This window comes from Homo sapiens, chromosome 13 (assembly GCF_000001405.40).
Source record: "Homo sapiens chromosome 13, GRCh38.p14 Primary Assembly".
NCBI classification, from domain to species: Eukaryota; Metazoa; Chordata; class Mammalia; order Primates; family Hominidae; genus Homo; species Homo sapiens.
The window spans coordinates 20,930,524-20,954,003 of record NC_000013.11 but is presented as its reverse complement, the minus strand read 5'-3'; the positions used below and the strand labels follow the sequence as shown (position 1 = coordinate 20,954,003).

At 46.3% G+C, this 23,480-nt stretch overlaps 1 long non-coding RNA gene and 1 pseudogene across 1 annotated transcript, besides 2 other annotated features; both read left to right on the top strand.

Moving 5' to 3' along the window:
* Positions 4,345 to 6,058, top strand: HNRNPA1P30 (heterogeneous nuclear ribonucleoprotein A1 pseudogene 30; annotated as a pseudogene).
* Positions 4,576 to 15,440, top strand: LINC00367 (long intergenic non-protein coding RNA 367). Its single transcript, NR_104058.1, has 6 exons — positions 4,576 to 4,699; positions 6,150 to 6,252; positions 11,404 to 11,662; positions 11,759 to 11,863; positions 14,069 to 14,141; positions 15,354 to 15,440. It is a non-coding gene; the product is annotated as a long intergenic non-protein coding RNA 367 (long non-coding RNA).
* Positions 9,934 to 10,510: an enhancer, noted in NCBI's record as "OCT4-NANOG hESC enhancer chr13:21517633-21518209 (GRCh37/hg19 assembly coordinates)". NCBI's record gives its function as "activates a minimal SCP1, AML or CMV promoter by ChIP-STARR-seq in primed H9 embryonic stem cells {active_cell/tissue: H9 hESC(primed)}" and the evidence as "EXISTENCE:reporter gene assay evidence [ECO:0000049][PMID:30033119]".
* Positions 13,905 to 14,404: an enhancer, noted in NCBI's record as "H3K27ac hESC enhancer chr13:21513739-21514238 (GRCh37/hg19 assembly coordinates)". NCBI's record gives its function as "activates a minimal SCP1, AML or CMV promoter by ChIP-STARR-seq in naive H9 embryonic stem cells {active_cell/tissue: H9 hESC(naive)}" and the evidence as "EXISTENCE:reporter gene assay evidence [ECO:0000049][PMID:30033119]".
* Positions 15,441 to 23,480: the final 8,040 nt, after the last annotated feature.

Here is a 23,480-nt window from a genome sequence, read left to right as displayed (position 1 = left end):
ACACACACACAACCAAAAAACAAAGAGGCTGAGAGCAAATGCCACTACCGTGTTTCCCCCTCGCGCCTGTGGAGCCAGAACGAGGCTCTCTGGACCTGGAGGTGGGTTCCTGCAGATGAAAGGAGGGCCTCGCCCTGCACTGGCGGCACGCACCGGGAGCCATGGGACGCGGGCCGACGTCAGCCTTCTGGTCCTGTCTTCCTGGGATCTTGCATATTGCCCAGAGAAACTCATTGCTGCTGTTTGTTTGGCAGGCTCTGAATTTTAAAGGCAGTTTAGCCTGTAGGCTGAGGCCATTTCTTTTCTCCCTGGGAACCCTTTGATCTTAAATCTTATCTCATAGTCGCATGGAGTGTCTTTTCAAAGTAAACACCACCTTGCTTTGGGAAGGACACACAAAGTCAATAATTAGTTGGACACAAACTTTTTTTTCCTTAATCTACCCAAATACCAGGTAAAAAATCAACTACCATCATGTGATGCAGCCGTCAGCTTCCTGCTGAGAAAAAACAAACAAACAAACAAAAAGAACACATATCCTTTGGCTCCCGTCACAGCTCAGCAAGGACAGGAATTGGAGGGACACCGAGGCGGAGCCGGGGAGCAGACACAAGCTCTGCCACACCCCTGGTGTCCTTGGGACACTGGGAACAGGGGACTCAGGCAGGCTTGCAAACCACTATGTGTCCTTGTTTGGTGCCTCTTATTTTCACCTCCTGCAAGAAGACACGACAGGAGAAACCCCAGGAAGGAGCATGGGGTCTCCACGGTGTGGGGGTGCTGGGCCGGGGGGCACTTGCTCCGGGGCCCACAGCTGCCTCCTCCACTGCAGGCCCAGCTGCGTCCCTTCTTGGGACTGTTGCCCCAAGCTGAACTCCTTTTGCATTCCTTCAGGAAACAGCTCCAACTTGGGCAAATCAGTCCCGATAGATGACTTCCGTGGGGTTCCAGCGCCTAAGAGGTCAGGGAGCAACTCCTCGGCCCCGCGTTGGTGCCCCGCGATCCTGCTCCAAGTGCCTCACCTCGGTGGCATCTGAAGCCTGAAGGTGTGTGACCTTGGGAGTTTTTCTTAACCAGAGGCTCGGTGTTCCTAATATGAAATGAAGACAGCAGGCGAGGCTCGGTGACTGACACCTGTAATCTCAGTGCTTTGGGAGGCCAAGACAGGAGGATTGTTGCCATAGCCCAGGAGTTCGAGACCAGCCTGGGCGAGACCACCTCCCCAAGCCCCGCCTCACAACTGTCTATACTAAAAATTACAAAATTAGCTGGGCTGGTGACACACACCTGTGATCCCAGCTACCAGGGGGCTGAAGCAGGAGCATTGCTTGAGCCCAGAATTTCAAGGCTGCAGTAAGCTAAGATCGTGCCACAGCATTCTCGCCAGGTGACAGAGCAAGACCCTGTCTCTGAGAGAGAGAGAAAGAGAGAGAGAGAGAGAGAGAGAGAGAGAATACAACAGAAGCATTGTGAGAATTCAATGAACAATATAGGCCAAGTGCTTGAGACATCTTAGACGCTCCACCACAGGGAGTCAGCTTCCCTCCCTTCCATCCCCTGCCCTCTCCCACACACCTGTGCTCTCGTCCATCAAAATAATTCAGCAATCCTTCAGACTCCCATTCCTCTGCATACGTTTTGCATACGTTTCCTTCACCTCAAATACTGTTCCCTCCACTTTTTCACCTTGAAAACGTCTGCATGCGCTTAGACATGCAGCTCAAGGGCTGTTTTGGAGACGAAGCCTCCCCATCCATCCATCCCTCAGAAGTCCCCCCCCGCATGCTCAGTGGCAGCACCTGCAAAACACTAGTACAGCACTAATCACATTGCATTGAAATTGAGGACAAGCCAGTTGCTCCTCCTACACTGCCAGCTCTTTGGGGGCAAACATGCAGTTCTGTTTATGTATGTCCAGGATCTAGTACAGTGTGGCAGTGGGAGGCACTTGAGAAATGTTATCTGAATAAATGAATGAAAATTAATCATTGTTAATTGCTCCTCCACCCTAGAGTCAGAGAGGAGGTCCCAGCCCTTATTAAATATAGTGTTGGCTGGGCGCGATGGCTCACTCCTATAATCCCAGCACTTTGGGAGGCCAAGGTGTGTGGATCACAAGGTCAGGAGTTCGAGAACAGCCTGGCCAGCATGATGAAACCCCATCTCTACTAAAAATACAAAAATTAGCTGGGCATGTTGGTACTTGCCTGTAATCCCAGCTACTCGGGCAGCTGAGGCAGAGAATCACTTGAACCTGGGAGACGCAGATTGCAGTGAACCGAGATCACGCCACTGCACTCCAGCCCGGGTGACAGAGCAAGACCTTATCTCGAATATATATATGTGTGTGTATATATATATATTATATGTTATATATATATATATATATATATATAATCTTAATCTCTTTGCACTTCAGTTTTGTTATCTATACAATGGAGATGATAATAGTATCTATTTCATAGGTTTTATAGGTAAGGGCTAACTGACACACTACAGGTCATGCACTCAGCCAAGTGTCTGGCTCACTGTATCCTTTTAAACTGTTAGTGATGACCGGGCATGGTGGCTCACGCCTGTAATCCCAGCACTTTAGGAGGCCGAGGCGGGCGGATCATGAGGTCAGGAGTTCAAGACCAGCCTGGCCAACATGGTGAAACCCCATCTCTACTAAAAATACAAAAAAAATTAGCCAGGCTTGGTGGCAGGCACCTGTAATCCCAGCTACTTGGGAGGCTGAGGCAGGGAGAATCACTTGAACCTGGGAGGCAGAGGTTGCAGTGGGCTGAGATCACGCCACTGCACTCCAGCCCAGGTGACAGTGCGAGACTCTGTCTCAAAAAAAAAAATTTTAAAAAGTGTTAGTGACTATTACCACCAAATCATTTTACCATGGGTAAGTCACATAACTGGTCCCACCTCAGTGTGCTCCTCTGTAAAAGGACAGAGTAGGACCAAATCACTGTGACTCTAAAGCTATTCCAGCTCTCAAGGTTTTTTGTTATAAGATTCCATGATACTCTTGAAGAGACATTTGCATACCCATGTTTATAGCAGCACTATTCATAACAGCCAAGAAGCGAAAACAACCCAAATTTCCATTGACAGACAAATGGACAAACAAAATATGGTATATACATGCAATGGAATACTTAAAAAAAGAAATCCTGTCTCATGCTACACATAGACGAAACTGAAGGACATTATGCTAAGTGAAACAAGCCACTCACAAAAACACAAATACTACATGATTCCACTTATATGAGGTTCTTAAGTTAGTCAAAATCAAAAAGACAAAATGTAGAGACAGAAAGTAGACAGTCTTCATTCAAAGCAAACTAACCAATAAGACTGGTTACCAGGGGCTGGGGAAAGGGCGGGGAAGAGGAGTTGTTTAACGGGTTCGGTTTCAGTTTTGCAAGATGAAAAAGTTCTGGAGATTGGTTGCACAACAATGTAAATATACCTAACCCTACTGAACTGTGCACTTAAAAATGGTTAAGATGGGCCAGGCGCAGTGGCTCACGCCTGTAATCCCAGCACTTTGGGAGGCCGAGGTGGGTGGATCATGAGGTCAGGAGATCAAGACCATCCTGGCTGACACGGTGAAACCACATCTCTACTAAAAATATAAAAAATAGGCTGGGCACAGTGGCTCACACCTGTAATCCCAGCACTTTGGGAGGCCGAGGTGGGCGGATCAGGAGGTCAGGAGATTGAGACCATCCTGGCTAACACGGTGAAATCCCGCTCTACTAAAAAATACAAAAAATTAGCCGGGTGTGGTGGCGGGCGCCTGTAGTCCCAGCTACTCGGGAGGCTGAGGCAGGAGAATGGTGTGAACCTGGGAGGCGGAGTTTGCAGTGAGCCGAGATCGCGCCACTGCACTCCAGCCTGGGCAACAGAGCGAGACTCCATCTCAAACCAAACCAAACCAAACAAACAAACAAACCAAACAAACAAACAAACAAGGTTAAGATGGTAAATTTTATGGTTTTTTTTTTTTTTTTTTTACCACAATAGAAAAGATTCTGGCCGGGTGCGATGGCTCACGCCTGTAATCCCAGCACTTTGGGAGACTGAGGCAGGCAGACGACGAGGTCAGGAGTTGGAAACCAGCCTGACCAACATGGTGAAACTCCATCTCTACTAAAAATACAAACAACAACAAAAAAAATAGCCAGGTATGGTGGCACGCGCCTGTAATTCCAGCTACTTGGGAGGCTGAGGCAGGAGAATTGCTTGAACCCAGGAGGCGGAGGTTGCAGTGAGCCGAGATCACGCCATTGCACTCCAGACTAGGAAATAAGAGCGAAACTCTGCCCCCCACCAAAAAAATTTTATCTTTCTGCCCGTGGATACCACCAAAGAAGCATCATGAAAGCCTCTTTTCTCCCTGCCTTCATGTCTAAGTCAGAGTCTCCTAAAGAGCCTGAACAGCTGAGGAAGCTCCTCTTTGGAGGGTTGAGCTTTGAAACAACCGATGAGAGCCTGAGGAGCCATTCTGAGCAATGAGGAACGCTCCTGGACTGTGAGGTAATGAGAGATCCAAACACCAAGCACGCCAGGGGCTTTGGGTTTGTCATCTATGCCACTGTGGAGGAGGTGGACGCAGCCACGAATGCAAGGCCACACAAGGTGGATGGAAGAGTTGTGGAACCAAAGAGAGCTGTCTCAAGAGAAGATTCTCAAAGACCAGGTGCCCACTTAACTGTGAAAAAGATATTTGTTCGCCAGGCGCAGTGGCTCATGCCTGTAATCCCAGCACTTTGTGAGGCTGAGGCGGGTGGATCACGAGGTCAGGAGATCAAGACCATTCTGGCCAACACAGTGAAACCCTGTCTCTACTAAAAAAAATACAAAAAATTAGCTGGGTGTGGTGTCGGGCGCCTGTAGTCCCAGCTACTTGGGAGGCTGAGGCAGCAGAGTGGTGTGAACCCGGGAAGCAGAGCTTGCAGTGAGCCGAGATCACACCACTGCACTCCAGCCTGGAAGACAGAGTAAGATGCTGTCTCAAAAAACAAAAGAAAAAAGAAAGAAAAGAAAAAGATATTTGTTGGTGGCATTAAAGAAGACACTGAGGAACATCCCCTCAGAGATTATTGGTTATTTGGAACAGTATGGGAAAATGGAAGTGATCGAAATCACGACTGACCGAGGCAGTGGCAAGAAAAGGGGCTTTGCTTTTATAACCTTTGATGACTATGACTCCGTGGATAAGATTGTCATTCAGAAATACCATAACGTGAATGTCCACAACTGTGAAGTTAGGAAGCCTTGTCAAAGCAAAAGATGGCGAGTGCTTCATCCAGCCAAAAAGGTCGAAGTGGTTCTGGAAACTTTGGTGGTGATCATGGTGGTGTCATGGGAATGACAACTTTGGTTGTGGAGGAAACTTCAGTGGTTGTGGTGGCTTTGGTGGCAGCCATGGTGGTGGTGGATATGGTGGCAGTGGGGATGGCTATAATGGATTTGGTAATGATGGAAGCAATTTTGGAGGTGGTGGAAGCTACAATGATTTTGGCAATTACAACAATCAGTCTTCAAATTTTGGACCCATGAAGGGAGGAAACTTTGGAGGCAGAAGCTCTGGCCCCTATGGTGATGGAGGCCAATACTTTGCCAAACCATGAAACCAAGAAAAATTGTACTCTTCAGGTGGCTATGGCGGTTCCAGTAGCAGCAGTTAGCTATGGCTGTGGCAGAATATTTTAATTAGGAAACAAAGCTTAGCAGGAGAGGAGAGCAAGAGAAGTGTCAGGGAAGCTACAGGTTACAACAGATTTGTGAACTCAGCCAAGCACAGCGGTGGCAGGGTCTAGCTGCTACAAAGAAGACATGTTTTAGACAAATACTCATGTGTATGGGCAAAAATCCTGAGGACTGTATTTGTGACTAATTGTATAACAGGTTATTTTAGTTTCTGTTCTGTGGAAAGTGTAAAGCATTCCAACAAAGGGTTTTAATGTAGATTTTTTTTTTTTGGCACGCATGCTATTGATTGCTAAATGTAATAGTCTGATTGTGACCCTGAATAAATGTGTTTTTTTTAATGTGCAAATAAAAAATTTCCTTAAATGCCTACAGAATACAGAAAACAACTTTTCAGGTATTAACCTGATATAACTGGCCATTCGCTTTTATTGCAGAGAACTTCTCCACATCTGCTTCTACCATGAATTAACCAACACAAATCATATGTTCCATTGGTCGTAATGGCTGGTCACAAAAATCATAACAGTTTTACATGAGGTGAGATTTTTCAGTTTACAAATACTTTTATGCACATGATCTCGTTTTATATTTGCCACAAACCTGAAAGATAGTAAATATTGACATCTCATTTTACAGTTGAAAAACTCAGGGCTGAGAGATTTGCCTCATAAAACTCACATGCCACCTCTATGCTCTGAACCCAAATCTTCAGATTCCTGTTCATAGCAGCATCATTCACAACAGCCAAAAGGTGGAAGCAGCACAAGTGTCCATCAGTGAATGAATTATTACACAAAATGTGGTGCATCCATACAGTGGAATATTATAGAGCCTTTAAAAAGAAGGAAATCGGCCAGGTGCAGTGGCTCATGCCTGTAATCCCAGGACTTTGGGAGGCCGAGATGGGTGGATCACGAGGTCAGAAGTTCGAGACCAGCCTGGCCAACATGGTGAAACCCCATCTCTACTAAAAACACAAAAATTAGCCAGGTGTGGTGGCAGGTGCCTGTAATCCCAGATACTTGGGAGTTGGGAGGCTGAGGCAGGAGAATGGTTTGAAACCAAGACATGGAGGTTGCAGTGAGCCAATATCATGCCATTGCACACTCCAGCCTGGGCGACAGGGCAAGACTCTGTCTCAAAAAAAAAAAAAAAAGAAGAAGAAAAGGAAATTGCCCGGCATGGTGGCTCCCACCTGTAATCCCAGCACTTTGGGAGGCCAGGGTGGGTGGATCACCTGAGGTCAAGACCAGCCTGACCAACAAGGCATAACCCCATCTCTACTGAAAATACACAAAGAAGCTGGGCATGGTGGAGCTTGCCTGTAATCCCAGCTACTCGGGAGGCTGAGGCAAAGAATCACTTGAACCCGGGAGACGGAGATTGCAGTGAACCGAGATCACGCCACTGCACTCCAGCCTGGGCGACAGAGCAAGATTCTGTCAAAAAAAAAAAAAAAAAAAAGAAGGAAATCCCATTACATGCTACAACATGGATGAACCTCCAGGCCATTATGCTGAGTGAAATAGGCCAGTCACAAAAGTACCAATACTGTGTGATTCCACTCATATGCCATATGTAAAGCAGGCGAATTCATAGACACAGAAGTGTAAGTGTGATACGGCGCTGCGGGAGTGGGAACCGGGAGTTAGTGTTGAACAGGTGGCAGCTGCTGCACAGGCCGATGAAGAGTTCTAGAGGTGGACAGTGGTGATGGCCACACAGCGATGTGAATGCTCTCGATGCCACTGAACTGTGCACTTAAAAATGGGTAAGATGGTATTTAATGTTATGTCCTTTTTACCACAATTTGAAATAAAACAAAGAGCTCTCCAGGGGCTTCAGGTGTGTGGTCACATAGCCCGGTCCCGTGTCGCTGTTACCAGGAGACTTCGGTGCGGCGAGCTCGGGTGCCAGGAACCCCGTTCCGTGTCGCCCTTTCTGTTGACCGCTAACTGCGGGGGATTTCGCCCGTCCTGCCTGCCCCGTGAACGGCCAGGCCCTTCAGGAGCTGCGGACCGCCAGGTCCTACCGCAGCGGCACGGGGCGCACTAGCCTCTTAGGCGCCGGGTGCTCCAGAGCCTCGCAGAGGACTCCCGATCTCTTCACACCCTCTCCAACTGCACTTGCAGCCACATCTCCCCCTCCCTCCCCTCCCTTTGGTCTTGTGAGAACGCAGTTTTCCGGAGCCCTCCCCGTCTCTCCACCGTTTCTCCATCCCCCCGGGGTTCCTCTAGCACGTGCTGAGCCCGCATCCTCCAGGCTAGCTCTCGTGGTGGGTGCCTGAGTGAAGAGAGCATTTCCCCTTTCTCAACAAAAGTAGTACAAAAGACGTCAAATCCAGGATGTTGTGGTTCAAATTTTAAATCTGCCACTTGGTTCTATATTCGGCAAAATCCTATTATTATCTGTGTTTTTTATTTTTATTGAGACAAGAGTCTTGCTCTGTAGCCCAGGCTGGAGTGCAGTGGCGCTATCTCGGCTCACTGCAAGCTCCGCGTCCCGGGTTCATGCCATTCTCCTGCCTCAGCCTCCCGAGTAGTTGGGACTACAGGCGCCCGCTACCACTCCCGGCTAATTTTTTCTATTTTTACTAGAGACCAGGTTTCACCTGCGTTAGCCAGGATGGTCTCGATCTCCTGACCTTGTGATCCACACGCCTCAGCCTTCCAAAGTACTGGGATTACAAGCGTGAGCCACCGCGCCCGGCCTATCTGTGTTTATTTTACGAGGTTTTGAGGATCCTGTTAAAGGGCTCAGCATTCTCAGTTCGGTTCTACAAATGTTTAATGAACACCTAATATATGACTGGCACTATCCAAGAAGAGATATCTTCTCTCCCTTCCTCTGTTCCTTCATTAAATATATTTTGTGTACCTGCTGTGTGCCAGACACTGTACTGTGTATTGGGGATACCCGTGAAGAAGGTGGACATGCTTCCTTCTGCCCAGGACTCACAGGAGGGGAAAGCATTTAGAAAATTATAATACAATAGTCTCAAAGGTATGATGGAGAAGTGGAGGAAGCTGCTGCTGGAGCACCCAGGAGAGGACGCGATCCAGACTGGGGAGGTCATGGAAGGCAGCCCAGCGGAAGTGATGCCTACCTGAAACCTACTATTAGGCAGCAGAGGCCGGAGAAGGGGCACACATGGTGTGGGGGATGTCGCCATATGTCTGGAGCTTCACAGTGCCTGAAGAAGATTTGAGGCTGGAGGCACAGGCAGGGCCCAGGTAGCGAAGGGCCGTATGAGTCTTATTAAGGAAACTGGGCAAGATTAACCAAGTTGGTTATCTGTTGCTTGCAACTAAAGAACTCAACCAGACTGAAATAGAATCACAGAATCGTGTATTTCGAGTCTCGCAAGGAACTCCAGAGACAATCTGATTTGGAAACAAACCTCTGGACAGTTAAGGATTATCAGCCCTCTCTTGTAAGTGGGGTGGATCACTCAGGTTAGGAAACAGAAGTAACCCCACAGTGTCACAGTGAATATGTGCTAGAGTGAAAACACCCACACCTCCTGTCTCTCAGGGTGGAGGGGCGCATTCCCCACCACCTCTTTGTTTATCCCACGTGGTATCTAGTATAACACCTTGCTTTGAGAGAGAACCATTTTAGTAGAGATAATAATACCCAATTTAAGCATATCAGTTAAAAACAATGAGAAGGAAAAAGCTACATTAAGCTGGTAAGAGAGTAAAGGTGCCATATAGTACTTCTTCCAGTATTCAGACCAACTCTTTTAGATTTTTTTTACCAACCTCCTATGTTAAATATACTTTTTTTTTTTTTGAGACGGAGTCTCACTCTTTCGCCCAGGCTGGAGTGCGGTGGAGCAATCTCGACTCACTGCAACCTCCGCCTCCCGAGTTCAAGCAATTCTCTGCCTCAGCCTCCTGAGCAGCTGGGATTACAGGTACCTGCTGCCATGCCCGGCTAATTTTTGTATTTTTAGTGGAGAAGGGGGTTTCACCATCTTGGCTGTGCTGGTCTCGAACTCCTGACCTCGTGTTAGACCCGCCTCGGCCTCCCAAAGTGCTGGGATTACAGGCGTGAGCCACCACGCACTGCCAGTTCTATTCTTTCTTAACTTCCCTTTTCCTTGAAATAATCCTCCCCTTACCCAACTGACTCTTTTCTCCTCTTTTTTTTTTTTTTTTTTTTTTTTTGTTGTTGTTGTTGAGATGGAGTCTTCCTCTGTCGCCCAGGCTGGAGTGCAGTGGCATGATCTCGGCTCACTGCTACCCCTGCCTTTGAGGTTCAAGCAGCTCTCCTGCCTCAGCCTCCCAAGTAGCTGGGATTACACGTGCCCGCCATTATGCCCGGCTAATTTTTGTATTTTTAGTAGAGACGGAGTTTTGCCAGGTTGGCCAGGCTGGTCTCAAACTCCTGACCTCAGTTGATCCGCCTGCGTCGGCCTCCCACAACTGACTCTTTTCTTATGTTGAACAAAATAAAGTTTCCCTGAGTGCCCTGAGCAGCTAGGGCGCCATCAAGGAATGAAGCGTCCTGAATGGATCCTTCTAGAAAAGGCTGGGGGTGGGAGCCACCTGGTGGCCAAAGCTGTGCAGACCACAGCTGTGTAATGAGGCAAGTTGGTTTAAAAAAGGAACAGGCTGCAGAGCCGAAGTATTTGTCAAAGTAATAAAAACGTTTAAATGAGTCATTTGGTTTATAGCAACTCCTAGGAAACGCTTTTCCAAACAATTTAGTCTGTTGAGCGCACACAGTACTGGTTTCCGCTAGAGTCTTGTTCATGTAATTGAGAAATTCGCAACTTAGACTTGAGCAGCAGTTCTCAAAGTGTGGTCTGTGGACTTCAGGGACACACGAAGTCCCCCTTTTCAATTGTATACCTGGGGGGTGCTGGACTTCCCCATCTACTTCAAACAAAACATATGGTAACAGGTCAAATGTGGAAGCAGAAATAAAAACTCCACCATCTGCGACCGGATGCGATGGCTCACGCCTGTAATCTCAGCATTTTGGGAGGCCGAGGTGGGCAGATCACTCGAGGTCAGGAGTTCAAGAGCAGCCTGGCCAACATGGTGAAACCCCGTCTCGACGAAAAATACAAAAAATTAGCTGGGCATGGTGGCGCACGCCTATAAATCCCAGCTACTCGGAAGCCTGAGGCGCGAGAATCGCATGAACCCGGGAGGCAGAGGTCGCAGTGAGCTGAGATTGCACCACTGCACTCCAGTCTGGGCAACAGAGCGAGACAATGTCTCAAAAAAAAAAAAAAAGAGAATTCCACTATCTGATATTAAACCCGCTATTCAAGAGGTTTGCAAAATGTAAACCAATGCCACTGATGCCACTAACTGTTATTTTGGGAAATATAGTTATTTTGCATAAAACACATTATTTGTGTTAACATGTAATTGGTTTATAATGGCCACTTTTCCATCTATAAATATTCTTTATTTTTTTCCATTTTAATTTTTAATATGATAAATATTGATAGATAGATAGATATGGATATAGATATACCTCCTTTCTGTCCCCTCACTTCATATATATGAATTTGTCTGAAGTTCTCAATAATTTTTAAGAGTATAAAGGGATCCTAAGCTCAAAAAGTTCTAGAACCACTGGACTAGAGCAATGTGTCAGCTGAGCATTAAAAACAGTACAGAATTTGACATTCCCCTGGAGGGGTTACTGTGTGATGATTTGAATCAGGTACACTTGCAGATGTGTTTCCATCAACCTCTGTATTGAAGGCCCAGTTATCTCTACTTACCTTGTTGCTCGTGTAAACACCTCTTAAGTACCACTCCAAATCTTTGGACACCGTTGGACGCTTACTCCACCCTGCTGCCACTGCAGAAACCAGCTGTCTGTGGACACTGCCAGCTCCATGTGGCATCCCAAATGGCACCCACCTCACAGGACCCCTGGCCCCTATGCTTGAGAAACCCACAATAAGTCAGAGAAAAAAGTAAGTGCAGAGAAATTGAAGCTTGTGGGGCGAATCTTCAACCAATGAGCTTAGGAGCAAACAGATAACGTTTTTTTCCTCTCCTACCTGACACAGTGTGCTGAGATCCAGGCCCCTCCAGAAACAGTCCCAGAAGCCCAAACAATCAGTTGTCAGATGCCCAATGGTGACCAGCTCCTCAGCCCAAAACTCTAGCACTCCGTAAGTTAAGGCTATGCATAGTTTACCATTTCACCATATTCTCAGCATCTACAAACTATAAACAGCCTTCAAAGAACAGTAGTAGCATTTTCATAACATTTATTTTGTGTCTAATCCGACTCTATGTCATAAGAATTAAAGAAGTAGCTTCTAAAATCTCAGTCTCCTGAAAATGAAGCTTTAGAATTGTTTCCTAAAATAACATTATTTTATATTACCCATTACCATTATTAAAAATGGTAATACTCGACCAGGCATGGTGGCTCACACCTGTAATCCCAGTACTTTGGGAGGCCGAGGCCAGTGGATCCTGAGGTAAGGAGTTCAAGGCCGGCTTGGCCAAGATGGTGAAGCCCTGTCTCTACTAAAAATACAAAAAATTAGCCGGGCGTGGTGGCAGGTGCCTGTAATCCCAGCTACTCAGGAGGCTGAGGCAGAGAATTGCTTGAACCCAGGAGGCGGAAGTTGCGGTGAGCCAAGACTACCCCACTGCATTCCAGCCTGGGCGACAGAGCCAGACTCTGCCTCAAAAAAAAAAAGTAATACTCTGATTCTAGAAAGGTTACACTGAAATAGACACTCTCATGTTGTTGATAAAAATTGTTATAACTTTTCTGGAACAAAATTTTGTTTTGTTTTGTTTTTTTGTTTGGTTTTGTTTTTTGAGATGGAGTCTCCCTCTGTTGCCTAGGCTAGAGTGCAGTGGTGAGATCTCTGCTCACTGCAACCTCTGCCTCCTGGATTCAAGCAATTCTCCTGCCTCAGCCTCCCGAGTAGCTGGGATTACAGGTACGCACCACCATGCCCAGCTAATTTTTTGTATTTTTAATAGAGAGAGGGTTTCACCATGTTGGCCAGGCTGGTCTTGAACTCCTGACATCAAGTGATCCACCCACCTCGGCCTCCCAAAGTACTGGGATTACAGGTGCGAGCCACCGCACCTGGCTGGAACAAAATTTGGCAACAATTTCTACAGAAACAATTTAAAAATGGGACAAACAGTTATGCACAAAAGTATTTCCCTTAGCACATCTATACTATAGTATCTTTAAACGCAATTACACATTCAATACTATGATGACGGTTACAAATATTTTATGACTCTATGCCATACTGTCACATTTTATGTAATCAATAAAAATTCCATATTCAAAAAGTTTTTAATAAAAAGCAAAATTATCACTATATAATGTTAAGTAAAGGGTGAAGGATACAAACTGTACGATCTCAGTTTTTTGTAGCAAGAAAAAGAAAAAAATAAATATATCAAAAATTTTACATGTCTGAAAGGAAATACGGCAAAGTTTTAAAAAATGGTGACCTCTTGTAGGTGATACAATTGTGGGTGATTTTTTTCTTCCTGATTTTTTTTTTTTTTTGAGACTGAGTCTCAGTCTGTCGCTAGGTCAGATTGCAGTGGCGCGCGCCACCACGCCCAGCTAATTTTTTGTATTTTTAGTAGAGACTGGGTTTCACCATGTTGGCCAGGCTGGTCTCGATCTCTTGACCTTGTGATCTGCCCACCTCAGCCTCCGAAAGTGCGGGGATTACAGGCATGAGCCACGGTGCCCAGCCTTTTCTTCCTAATTTTAAACATCTTCTGTATATTTCCAAATTTTCTACAGTGTAAGTGTGATATTTTACAGCACGATTATTAGAAGGTAAAAATGGGTGAGGCTCTAGGATTTCGAAGGTCACTTTCAGCTCTAAAATTCCTTAATTCACACAGCTCTTATCACTATGGTTTGTTTGTTTTTTGACTTTCCACTGATAGTAACAGAAGAGTATATTACACATTTCCTAATAGCAATGTTATGCATGTCATTGCCTGAGATTCCTAAATCTTGTGCAAGATTTCAACATTATCTGTAGAACTTAAGTGCTAGATTGTGATCTTTTATGAAGTTTTTGAGTGTTGTCAACAGACTGAGTGTTCAGATGAAAATGCCGGGAGAGGACAATACTCGTAAATGTGCATTTCTACATTTAGATATAGCACATTAGTTAGTGCTTCATCATTCAAGAGACATTTAAATTTTACTACATTATAATAACATTCTTAAGAGTTTCCTTAAGACAAGGAGATAAACTCAGTTATTGCTAAGCAAGAATCTGCTGAAACAGTAAACAAACAGGTATAAACAAGTGCATTTGAGTGTGTGGCCACATGCCTGTCACTCCCAAATTCTTGTCCTTTGTTCCCAGCTGGGGAGAAGGTAAACAGAAATGGAGAATGAGGAGTCTCAGCTCCTGGCCTCCGGCCTGCTCAAGCGAAGGGGTAGGAGATCATCCCGCCACTTGCCAGGGATATTTTGGGGATATATCTGACACTGGGTCACATGCACTAGTTGGCCTGCAACAAATCTCAGTCTCCCAGCCAGTCGGCAGCAGATCAGGCACTCCTGTCTTTGAGCCACTGTGGAAGGAACTAGCCTGGGCAGCTCCTCAAAGGGGCTCTTGCTCACATCAAAGCTGGACAGTCAGCCCCTGGTGGGCTTCAGATTCAAAGACCCCTTCTGCCCCCCATCCTTGACTGTTGCCCCTCACAGTGGTCTCACTCTTTCCTTCTTAATCAAGTATGTGGGGCCCCTTTTGGGACAAGCATCCTGGATCAGGACCCAGGCTTTTGGTGACCCAATCCAACGATTCCTGACTCATCGCCTTCTGTCCCATAGGCTTGCATTCCTCCATGAGAAATCCCCTTTGCGTCTTCTTTCAGAACTAAACTTTAGATAACTCCTTAAAACCAGAACCCAAATCTTAGCACTATCACCCACTCCCCGCAAAGGGTTACTCTCTACCCCTGAGCAAGGATGGCTTGGTCGGGGGGCATGCCCCTTGCTTTATGGTGGATTGTTACTTTTCATGCAGGGAAAAAAATAAAACGAAACATTAGTGTTTTCATTTAAAAACAAGTTGAACAGTCGTCTCCTGTAAGAGAATCCTGGAGCCCCAGACACACCTAGAAACACAAGTCTGTGCAAAAATACAATGTGTAGATTTATGGAAATGCACATGATGTGAAAAGTCCCTAACGGATGTGTATAAAAATTCGACTTTTTTTTCTTTGAGTCTCACTCTGTCACCCAGGGTGGAGTGAGTGCAGTGGGGCAATCTCGACTCACTGCAGCCTCCGCCTTGTGGGTTCACACGATTCTCTTGTCTCAGCCTCCTGAGTAGCTGGGACTACAGGCGCACGCCACCATGCTTGGCTAATTTTTATATTTTTAGTAGAGACGGGGTTTCACCATGTTGGCCAGGCTGGTCTCAAACCCCTGACCTCAGGTAATCCACCCACCTCGGCCTCCCAAAGTGTTGGGATTTACAGGCATGAGCCACCACGCCCGGCCCAAGTCTTTTTATTCAACACCTCATTTTATTCTTATGCACTGAATGCCACATTGGTTTCTTTTTTCTCTCTCTCTCTCACTCAAAGCACTATTATTAAATCCATGATGCAGCTTACTTTCAACATTATCTTCAAATTTAGGAAATACCATTGTATCATAAGCAGTGGTAATTCCCGTCTGCCAGGTGTCTACCGGGTGAAGGGGTCTTGCTCTGTGCTGGGTGCTCAGAGCCATCCCTGCCCATCTTCGTGCTAATGCCTGGAGGCAGCCACATTAGCTCCACCTCCTGGCTTGGGAGCTGAGGCTCAGAGAGGACAACTAATCAGCCCAAGGTCCCAAGCTAATATGTGGCACACGGAGATCTCAAACCCAGCATGAGGTAGGTACTGTGACCCCTATTGCACAGATGAAAAACAGACATACCGAGATGACGGGAACTCACTCAGGGCACACAAATGATAAGTGGCAGAGAAAAGATTGGAATCAAAATCCTACAAAAATCCTACAAAATTGAGGTGAGGCACAGTGGCTCACACCTGTAATCCCAGCACTTTGGGAGGCCGAGGTGTGTGGATGATCACTTGAGCCCAGAAGTTTGAGACCAGCCCGGGCAACAAAGTGAGACCCCTGTCTTTACAAAAAAATTTAAAAATTAGCCAGATGTGGTGATGTGCCTCTGTAGTCCCAGCTACTTGGGAAGCCAAGGCAGGAGAATCTCTTGAGCCAGAGAGGTCAAGGCTACAGTGAGCTATGATCACACCACTGCACTCCAGCCTGGGTGACAGAGCGAGACTCCGTCTCAAAAAAATAAAAAAAGAAAAAAATAAATAAATAATTAAAAAAAAAAAAAAAAAAAAAGTCTGGGTGCGGTGGCTCACGCTTGTAATCCCAGCACTTTGGGAGGTGGAGGCGGGCAGATCACGAGGTCAGGAGATCGAGACCATGGTGAAACCCCATCTCTACTAAAAATATAAAAAATTAGCCGGGTGTGGTGGTGGGCGCCTGTAGTCCCAGCAACTCGGAGAGGCTGAGGCAGGAGAATGGCATGAACCTGGGAGGCGGAGCTTGCAGTGAGTCGAGATCACGCCACTGCACTCCAGCCTGGGCAACAGATCGAGACTCCGTCTCAAAAAAAAAAAAAAAAAGAAAATTTAGGACACTTTGAAAACACAGTGAACAGACACCTATAGTAATCATTTTCCCTGTCACTAAAACTCATAAAACAATGGCTTTGAATGGCTATATGATATTCCATTATGATGATATAGCCCAAATTAATTAACCATTTACTTGTTATTGGAAATTTAGGTTATTTCCTATTTTAAATAATTTAAAATGTAAATATACCTTGTAAATAACATCATATTGCATATCTTTATACATGATCTTTTTCTTTTCCTTGTATAAGCTTTATCATGAGTACATAATCTTTTTCTGCATCTTTAATTATATTCTTAAGAACATTTTTAATGCTCTTGTTATATATTTCCAAATTGATTTCCAGTGTATACTCCCAGGAGAGGGTTAATTTCATGGTTCCTCTTGTGAATGTTATCTTTATTTTATTCTTTAAATATTTCTTTTCTGTATTTTGAATAAATGTACAACAGAATGTTATGTGGATTTTCTTTTTTCCCATGTTCCAGAATTGCAGCTGAAACCAAAAGCCCTGGACAAAAAATGTGAAGTGTCTGGGAACCTTAGAGACCCCTCTGGGCTTTCCGAGAAAGGCAAGATCCGCAATCAGCTCTCCAGCCTTCTCACCTCCCCAGCCAACAGAAACTCTTCTGTCTCCTGGTTGGACTTGGGCTCAGCCTCAGCTGTTGATTAGGACAACTGTGTCCCCCAAGCAGGGGAAGAAACCTTGGAAGAGATGAAGAACAGGGAGTGAGTAAGAGCGTGTCAGTTGAGTGACCGTGAAGACAGTGGGAATGGAGGCAGCTTACCCATGTCGGGCAGATCCACTCCTCCCAGAACCCTCCCAAAAGCCCCTCCACATGCACCTATGGAAGTTCCAGTATTTGAGGGGTCGCCTCACATAGCCCATGTCAGTTAGCATTAGCCACAGAGGCAGGGACACTCACAAGAACCTTGCTGCCAGCTTTGCACAGGGAACTTACCATGAGGTGATGAAGTTTAAGCTCAGTGCCCTTCACCTGGATAATCTATGTTAATACTCAAAGGTGTCCAACATTTTTTTGAGACTAAGTCTTGCTCTGTCACCCAGGCTGGAGTGCAATGGTTGTGCGATCTCAGCTAACTGCAACCTCTGCCTCCCGGGCTCAAGCAATTCTCCTGCCTCAGCCTCCCAAGTAGCTGGGATTACAGGCACCCACCACCACGCCTGGGTAATTTTTTTTTTGTATTTTTAGTAGAAATAGGGTTTCACCATGTTGGCCAGGCTGGTTTCGAACTCCTAACCTCAAATGATCCTTCCGCCTCAGCCTCCCAAAATGCTGGGATTACAGGTGTGAGCCACCATGCCCGGCCTTTTTTTTTTTTTTTTTTTTTTTTTTTGAGACAAGGTATCACTCTGCTGCCCATGCTGTAGTGCAGTGATGCGATCATAGGTCAATGTGGCCTCCACCTCCTAGCCTCAAGTGATTCTCCTGCCTCGGCCTCCCAAAGTGCTGAAATTACAGGCATGAGCCACTGTACCTGGCTATTTTTTTCACTCTCTCTATTTTTTTTTAGACAAGAGTCTTGCTCTGTTGCCCAGGCTGGAGTGCAGTGGCACGATCTCGGCTCACCGCAAGCTCCTCATCCCAGGTTCACACCATTCTTCTGCCTCAGCCTCCTGAGTAGCTGGGACTACAGGTGCCCTCCACCACGCCCGGCTAATTTTTTGTATTTTTAGTAGAGACGGGGTTTCACCATGTTAGCCAGGATGGTCTCGATCTCCTGACCTCGTGATCCACCTGCCTCGGCCTCCCAAAGTGCTGGGATTACAGGTGTGAGCCACCACGCCCGGCCCTTTTTCACTCTCTTGCCTAGGCTGGAGTGTGGTGGCACAGTCATAGCTCACTGTAACCTCAAACTCCCAGGCTCAAGTGATCCTCTTGCCTCAGCCTCCCCAGTAGCTGGGGACTACAGGTGCATGCCATAAAGTCCAGCTAATTTTTTTTAGGTTTTGTAGAGACAGGCTCTTGCTACATTGCCTGGGCTGGCCTCCAACTCCTGGCCTCAAGTGATCCGCTTGCCTTCACCTCCCAAAGTGCTGAGATTATAGGCGTGAGCCACCACTCCTGAGCCCAACATTTTATACATATTTATAAGCTTCAAGTCTGGATCTTGGATGTGCAGTTGGCAGGCAGTCACATAAGACCTCTGTCTCCCATGCTCTTATTATCATTATTCAGGGCATACATGTGCATGTTTGTTACATGGATATAACGTGGAATGGTGAGGTTTGAGTTTCTAGTGCACCCATCACTAAAATAATGAATCTTCTATGCAATAGGTCATTTTTCAACATGAAATCCCTCCCATCCTCTCCCCCTTTGGAGTCCCCCAGTGCCTATTATTTCCCTTTCCATGGTTTTTTTTTTTCTTTCTCCAATACCAGAAATGTCAGGAAAGACGGAAAAGTGAAGCTGACACCTCCATCCCCTACTGCAGATGATAAGGCACTAGTGCAAATTGCATTGAAGGTTAAAGAATCTGCAACAAAATGTCTTCAGTGGACTGGCTACGCAATGGGAAAGGGTAGTTTGGGTTTTGTTTGTTTGTTTATTTCCCCTCTGCACAGTCCACTGGAAAGGGGTACTTTGATTGTAGAACATTTTGGGACAAAATGATTGGGGGGAACTATTTATGTCATGCTTTTTCACAATGGGCTGACTCCTCAGCTAGATTCAAAAGTTATAAAAAGTTATACAGCTGAGGTTCTCAAACTGTGTGCCAGGGTGGCTTGGGAACAGCAAATTCACAGGGGCACTGTGGGCTGTTTCAAATATTTGAGGGAAACAGCTATGTCAGTTACACACCACTCTAACTACAGTATTAGCACAATTTTGACATTAGAACACACTATATCCCTTGCATTAACATATTATCTTTGCAAAGCTGGGGATAAAAAGCATTGACTGTGAAAGTCAATGTGGAATGGGAAATGAGAGGGGTGGCAGCGGCCAATTTTTTTCCAGGGTTTGAGGAGTTGTGCAGTGCCCAACAGGCACACATATCCCATTAGCAACTGTGGCTATTTAAGAATGAAATAAACTGGGCACAGTGCCTCACGCTTATAATCCCAGCACTTTGGGAGGCTGAGGCAGGCAGATCACCTAAGGTCAGGAGTTCGAGACCAGCCTGACCAACACTGTGAAACCCCGTCTCTACTAAAGATAGAAAAAAAAATTAGCCAGGCTTGGTGGTGGGCGCCTGTAATCTCAGCTACTCGGGAGGCAGAGGCAGGAGAATCCCTTGAACCCAGGAGGTGGAGGTTGCAGTGAGCCACACCACTGCACTCCAGCCTGGGTGGCAGAGCGAGACTATGTCTCAAAAAAAAAAAAAAAAGAAATAAAAATAGCATTTTTCGGCTGGGCACGGTGGCTCACGCCTGTAATCCCAACACTTTGGGAGGCCGAGGCAGGCAGATCACGAGGTCAGGAGATTGAGACCATCCTGGCCAACATGGTGAAACCCCGTCTCTACTAAAAATACAAAAATTAGCTGGTTGTGGTGGCACACGCCTGTAGTCCCAGCTACTCAGGCGGCTGAGGCAGAAGAATTGCTTGAACCTGGGAGGTGAAGGTTGTAGTGAGCTGAGACCACGCCACTGCACTCCAGCCTGGGCAACAGAGCAACACTCCATTTCAAAAAAAAAAAAAATAGCATTTTTCAATTTATATGAACTTTTAAAAATGGCTATTAGGGGCCGGGTGCAGTGGCTCACGCCTGTAATCCCAGCACTTTGGGAGGCCGAGGCGGGTGGATCATGAGATCAGGAGTTCAAGACCAGCCTGGCCAAGATGGTGAAACCCCATCTCTACTAAAAATACAAAAAAACTTAGCCAGGCGCGGTGGCAGGCGCCTGTAATCCCAGCTACTCGGGAGGCTGAGGCAGGAGAATCGCTTGAACTCGGAAGGCGGAGGTTGCAGTGAGCCCAGATCGTGCCACTGCACTCCTGCCTGGGCGACAGAGTGAGACGCCGTCTCAAAAAAACAAAAACAAACAAAAAAAATGGCTATTAGGTATTTAGACACAAATACTTAGGTTGTAGATGTTGGAACTAGCTACATAATAAATGGAATGTAATCAGGAAGGTAGTTCTTTTGGTCTGGGTGCACCAAGAAAATATGACTGAGATACTACGAGCACGTGGACTGAGAAGGTCTGGGACCCTAGAGTGTGCAGTAGTAAGCAGGACTGTATCCTCCTGTCAGGGAAAAAGTATGCTTCCCAGTAAGCCCAGAGAGGTCTTGAAGGCTCCAGAAACACAGAATGTGGAGTTCTGAATGTCTTTTTCTAGAGCTGTGTGTCTCACCCACAATTCTGGAGCACGAAAAGAAAGAACACCTGCATGAAACATGTACATTTATTCAAAGTACAGAAAGGAAATAATTAAAAAATAAAATAGGCCAGACATGCTGGTTCACACCTGTAATTCCCAGCACTTTGGGAGGCCAAGGTGGGCGGATCACCTGCAGTCAGGAGTTCCAGACTAGCCTGGCCAACATGGTGAAATCCCATCTCCACTAATACTACAAAAATTAGCCGGGCTGGGTGGTGGGCGCCTGTAATCCCAGCTACTCTGGAGGCTGAGGCAGGAGAATTGCTTGAACGCAAGAGGCAGAGGTTGTAGTGAGCCGAGATTGTGCCACTGCACTCCAGCCTGGGCAACAGAGCAAGACTCTGTTGGGAGGCCGAGGCGGGCAGATCACCTGAGGTCAGAAATTCGAGACCAGCTTAGCCAACATGGAGAAACCCCGTCTCTACTAAAAATACAAAAATTAGCTGGGCGTGGTGGCAGGCACCTGTAATCCCAGCTACTCTGGAGGCTGAGGAAGGATAATCACTTGAACCCAGGAGGCAGATGTTGCAGTTAGCCGAGATCACACCATTGCACTCCAGCCTGGGGTACAAGAGCGAGACTTCCTCTCAAAAAAAAAAAAAAAGAATAAAATAAAGATAACAGGGCTACACAGACCAGTGGCTCACGCCTGTAATCCCAGCACTTTGGGAGGCCAAGGTGGGCAGATCATGAGGTCAAGAGACCGAGACCATCCTGGCTAACACAGTGAAACCCCGTCTTTACTAAAAATATAAACAATTAGCCAGGCGTGGTGGCAGGTGCCTGTAGTCCCAGCTACTCGGGAGGCTGAGGCGGGAGAATGGCGTGAACCCAGGAGGCGGAGCTTGCAGTGAGCTGAGATGGCGTCACTGCACTCCAGCCTGGGCGACAGAGCCAGACTCCGTCTCAAAAATAAAATAAAATAAAATAAATAAAATAAAATAAAATAAAATAAAATAAAATAAAATAAAAAAGATAACATTTTTCCCCTCCACTGAGGCAATCGTAGATACTAGTTTCTTGTATGTCCTAGAAATATATATTAATAGCTAAAATTGATTGAACATTTAGTTTGTGTCAAGCACTATTCTAAGTCCTTTGTACTTAATGAATTTAATCCTGTATGATGCAGTTGCTATTATTATTCCTTCTTTGTAGACAAGTACACTGAAGGGAAGAGAGGCTAAGTAGCTGCCCCAATCCACGCAGACAGTGGTGGCTTCAGGGTCTGAGTTCTTAAACCTACTTTATATTACCTTTGTGCAGAGTTTAGATATTATCTTTATTTATTTTATTTTATTTATTTATTTTTTTGAGACAGTGTCTCACTCTGTTGTCCAGGCTGGAGTCCAGTGGCGCGATCTCAGCTCACTGTAGCCTCTGTCTCCCAGGTTCAAGCGATTCTCCTGCCTCAGCCTCCCAAGTAGCTGGGACTACAGGCATGCATCACCATGCCTGACTAATTTTTTTATGTTTAGTAGAGACAGGGTTTCACCATGTTGGATAGAATGTTCTTGAATTCCTGACCTCAGGTGACCCGCCTGCCTTGGCCTCCCAAAGTGCTAGGATTACAGGCATGAACCACCACACCCGGCCTGCCTTTATTTTTTAAAATCTTTGTGTATTTATTTTTTTAGAGCCAGCATCTCACTCTGTCACCCAGGCTGGAGTACAGTGGTGTAATCATAGCTCACTGCAACCTCAATCTCCTGGGCTCAAACCATCCTCCCACCTCAGCCTCCCGAGTAGCTGGGACTATAGGTGCAAGCCACTGTGCCCAGCTTATCTTTAAAAACATGTCAATTTGAGGCCAGGCTTGGTGGCTCACACCTGTAATCCCAGCACTTTGGGAGGCCGAGGTAGGTGGATCACCTGAGGTCAGGAGTTCAAGACCAGCCTGGACAACATGGTGAAACCCCATCTCTACAAAAATACAAAAATTAGCTGGGTATGATGACAGATGCCTGTAATCCCAGCTACTCAGGAGGCTGAGGTGGAAGAATTGCTTGAACCGGGAGGCGGAGGTTGTAGTGAGCCGAGATCGCGCCATTGCACTCCAGCCTGGGCGACAGTGAGACTCCATTTCAAAACAAACAAACAAACAAACTAAGGCCAGGCATGGTGGCTCATGCCTGTAATCCCAGCACTTTGGGAGGCCAAGACGGGCAGATCACCTGAGGTCAGGAGTTTAAGACCAGCCTGGCCAACATGGCGAAACCCCGTCTCTACTAAAAATACAAAAATTAGGTGGGATTGGTGGCACACACCTGTAATCCCAGCTACTTGGGAGGCTGAGGCAGGAGAATCACTTGAACCTGGGAGGTGGAGGTTGCAGTTAGCTGAGATCGTGCCATTGTACTCCACCCTGGGTAACAAGAGTGAAATACCATCTCAGAGAAAAAAAAAAAAAGTGAAAAAACAGCCAGACATAGTGGATCATGTCTGTAATCCCAGCACTTTGGTAGGCCAAGGCAGGCAGATCACCTGAGGTCAGGAGTTTGAGATCAGCCTGGTCAACATGGTGAAACCTCATCTCTACTAAAAATATAAAAATTAGCTGGGCGTGGTAGGACGTGGCTGTAATTCCAACTACTTGGGAGGCTGAGGCAGGAGAATCTCTTGAATCTGGGAGAAGGAAGTTGCAGTGAGCCAAAATCGCACCACTGCACTCCAGCCTGGGTGACAGAGCGAGACTCTGTCTCAAAATAAATAAATAATAAAATGTTAAAAAACAACAAATGCTGGTAAGGTTGC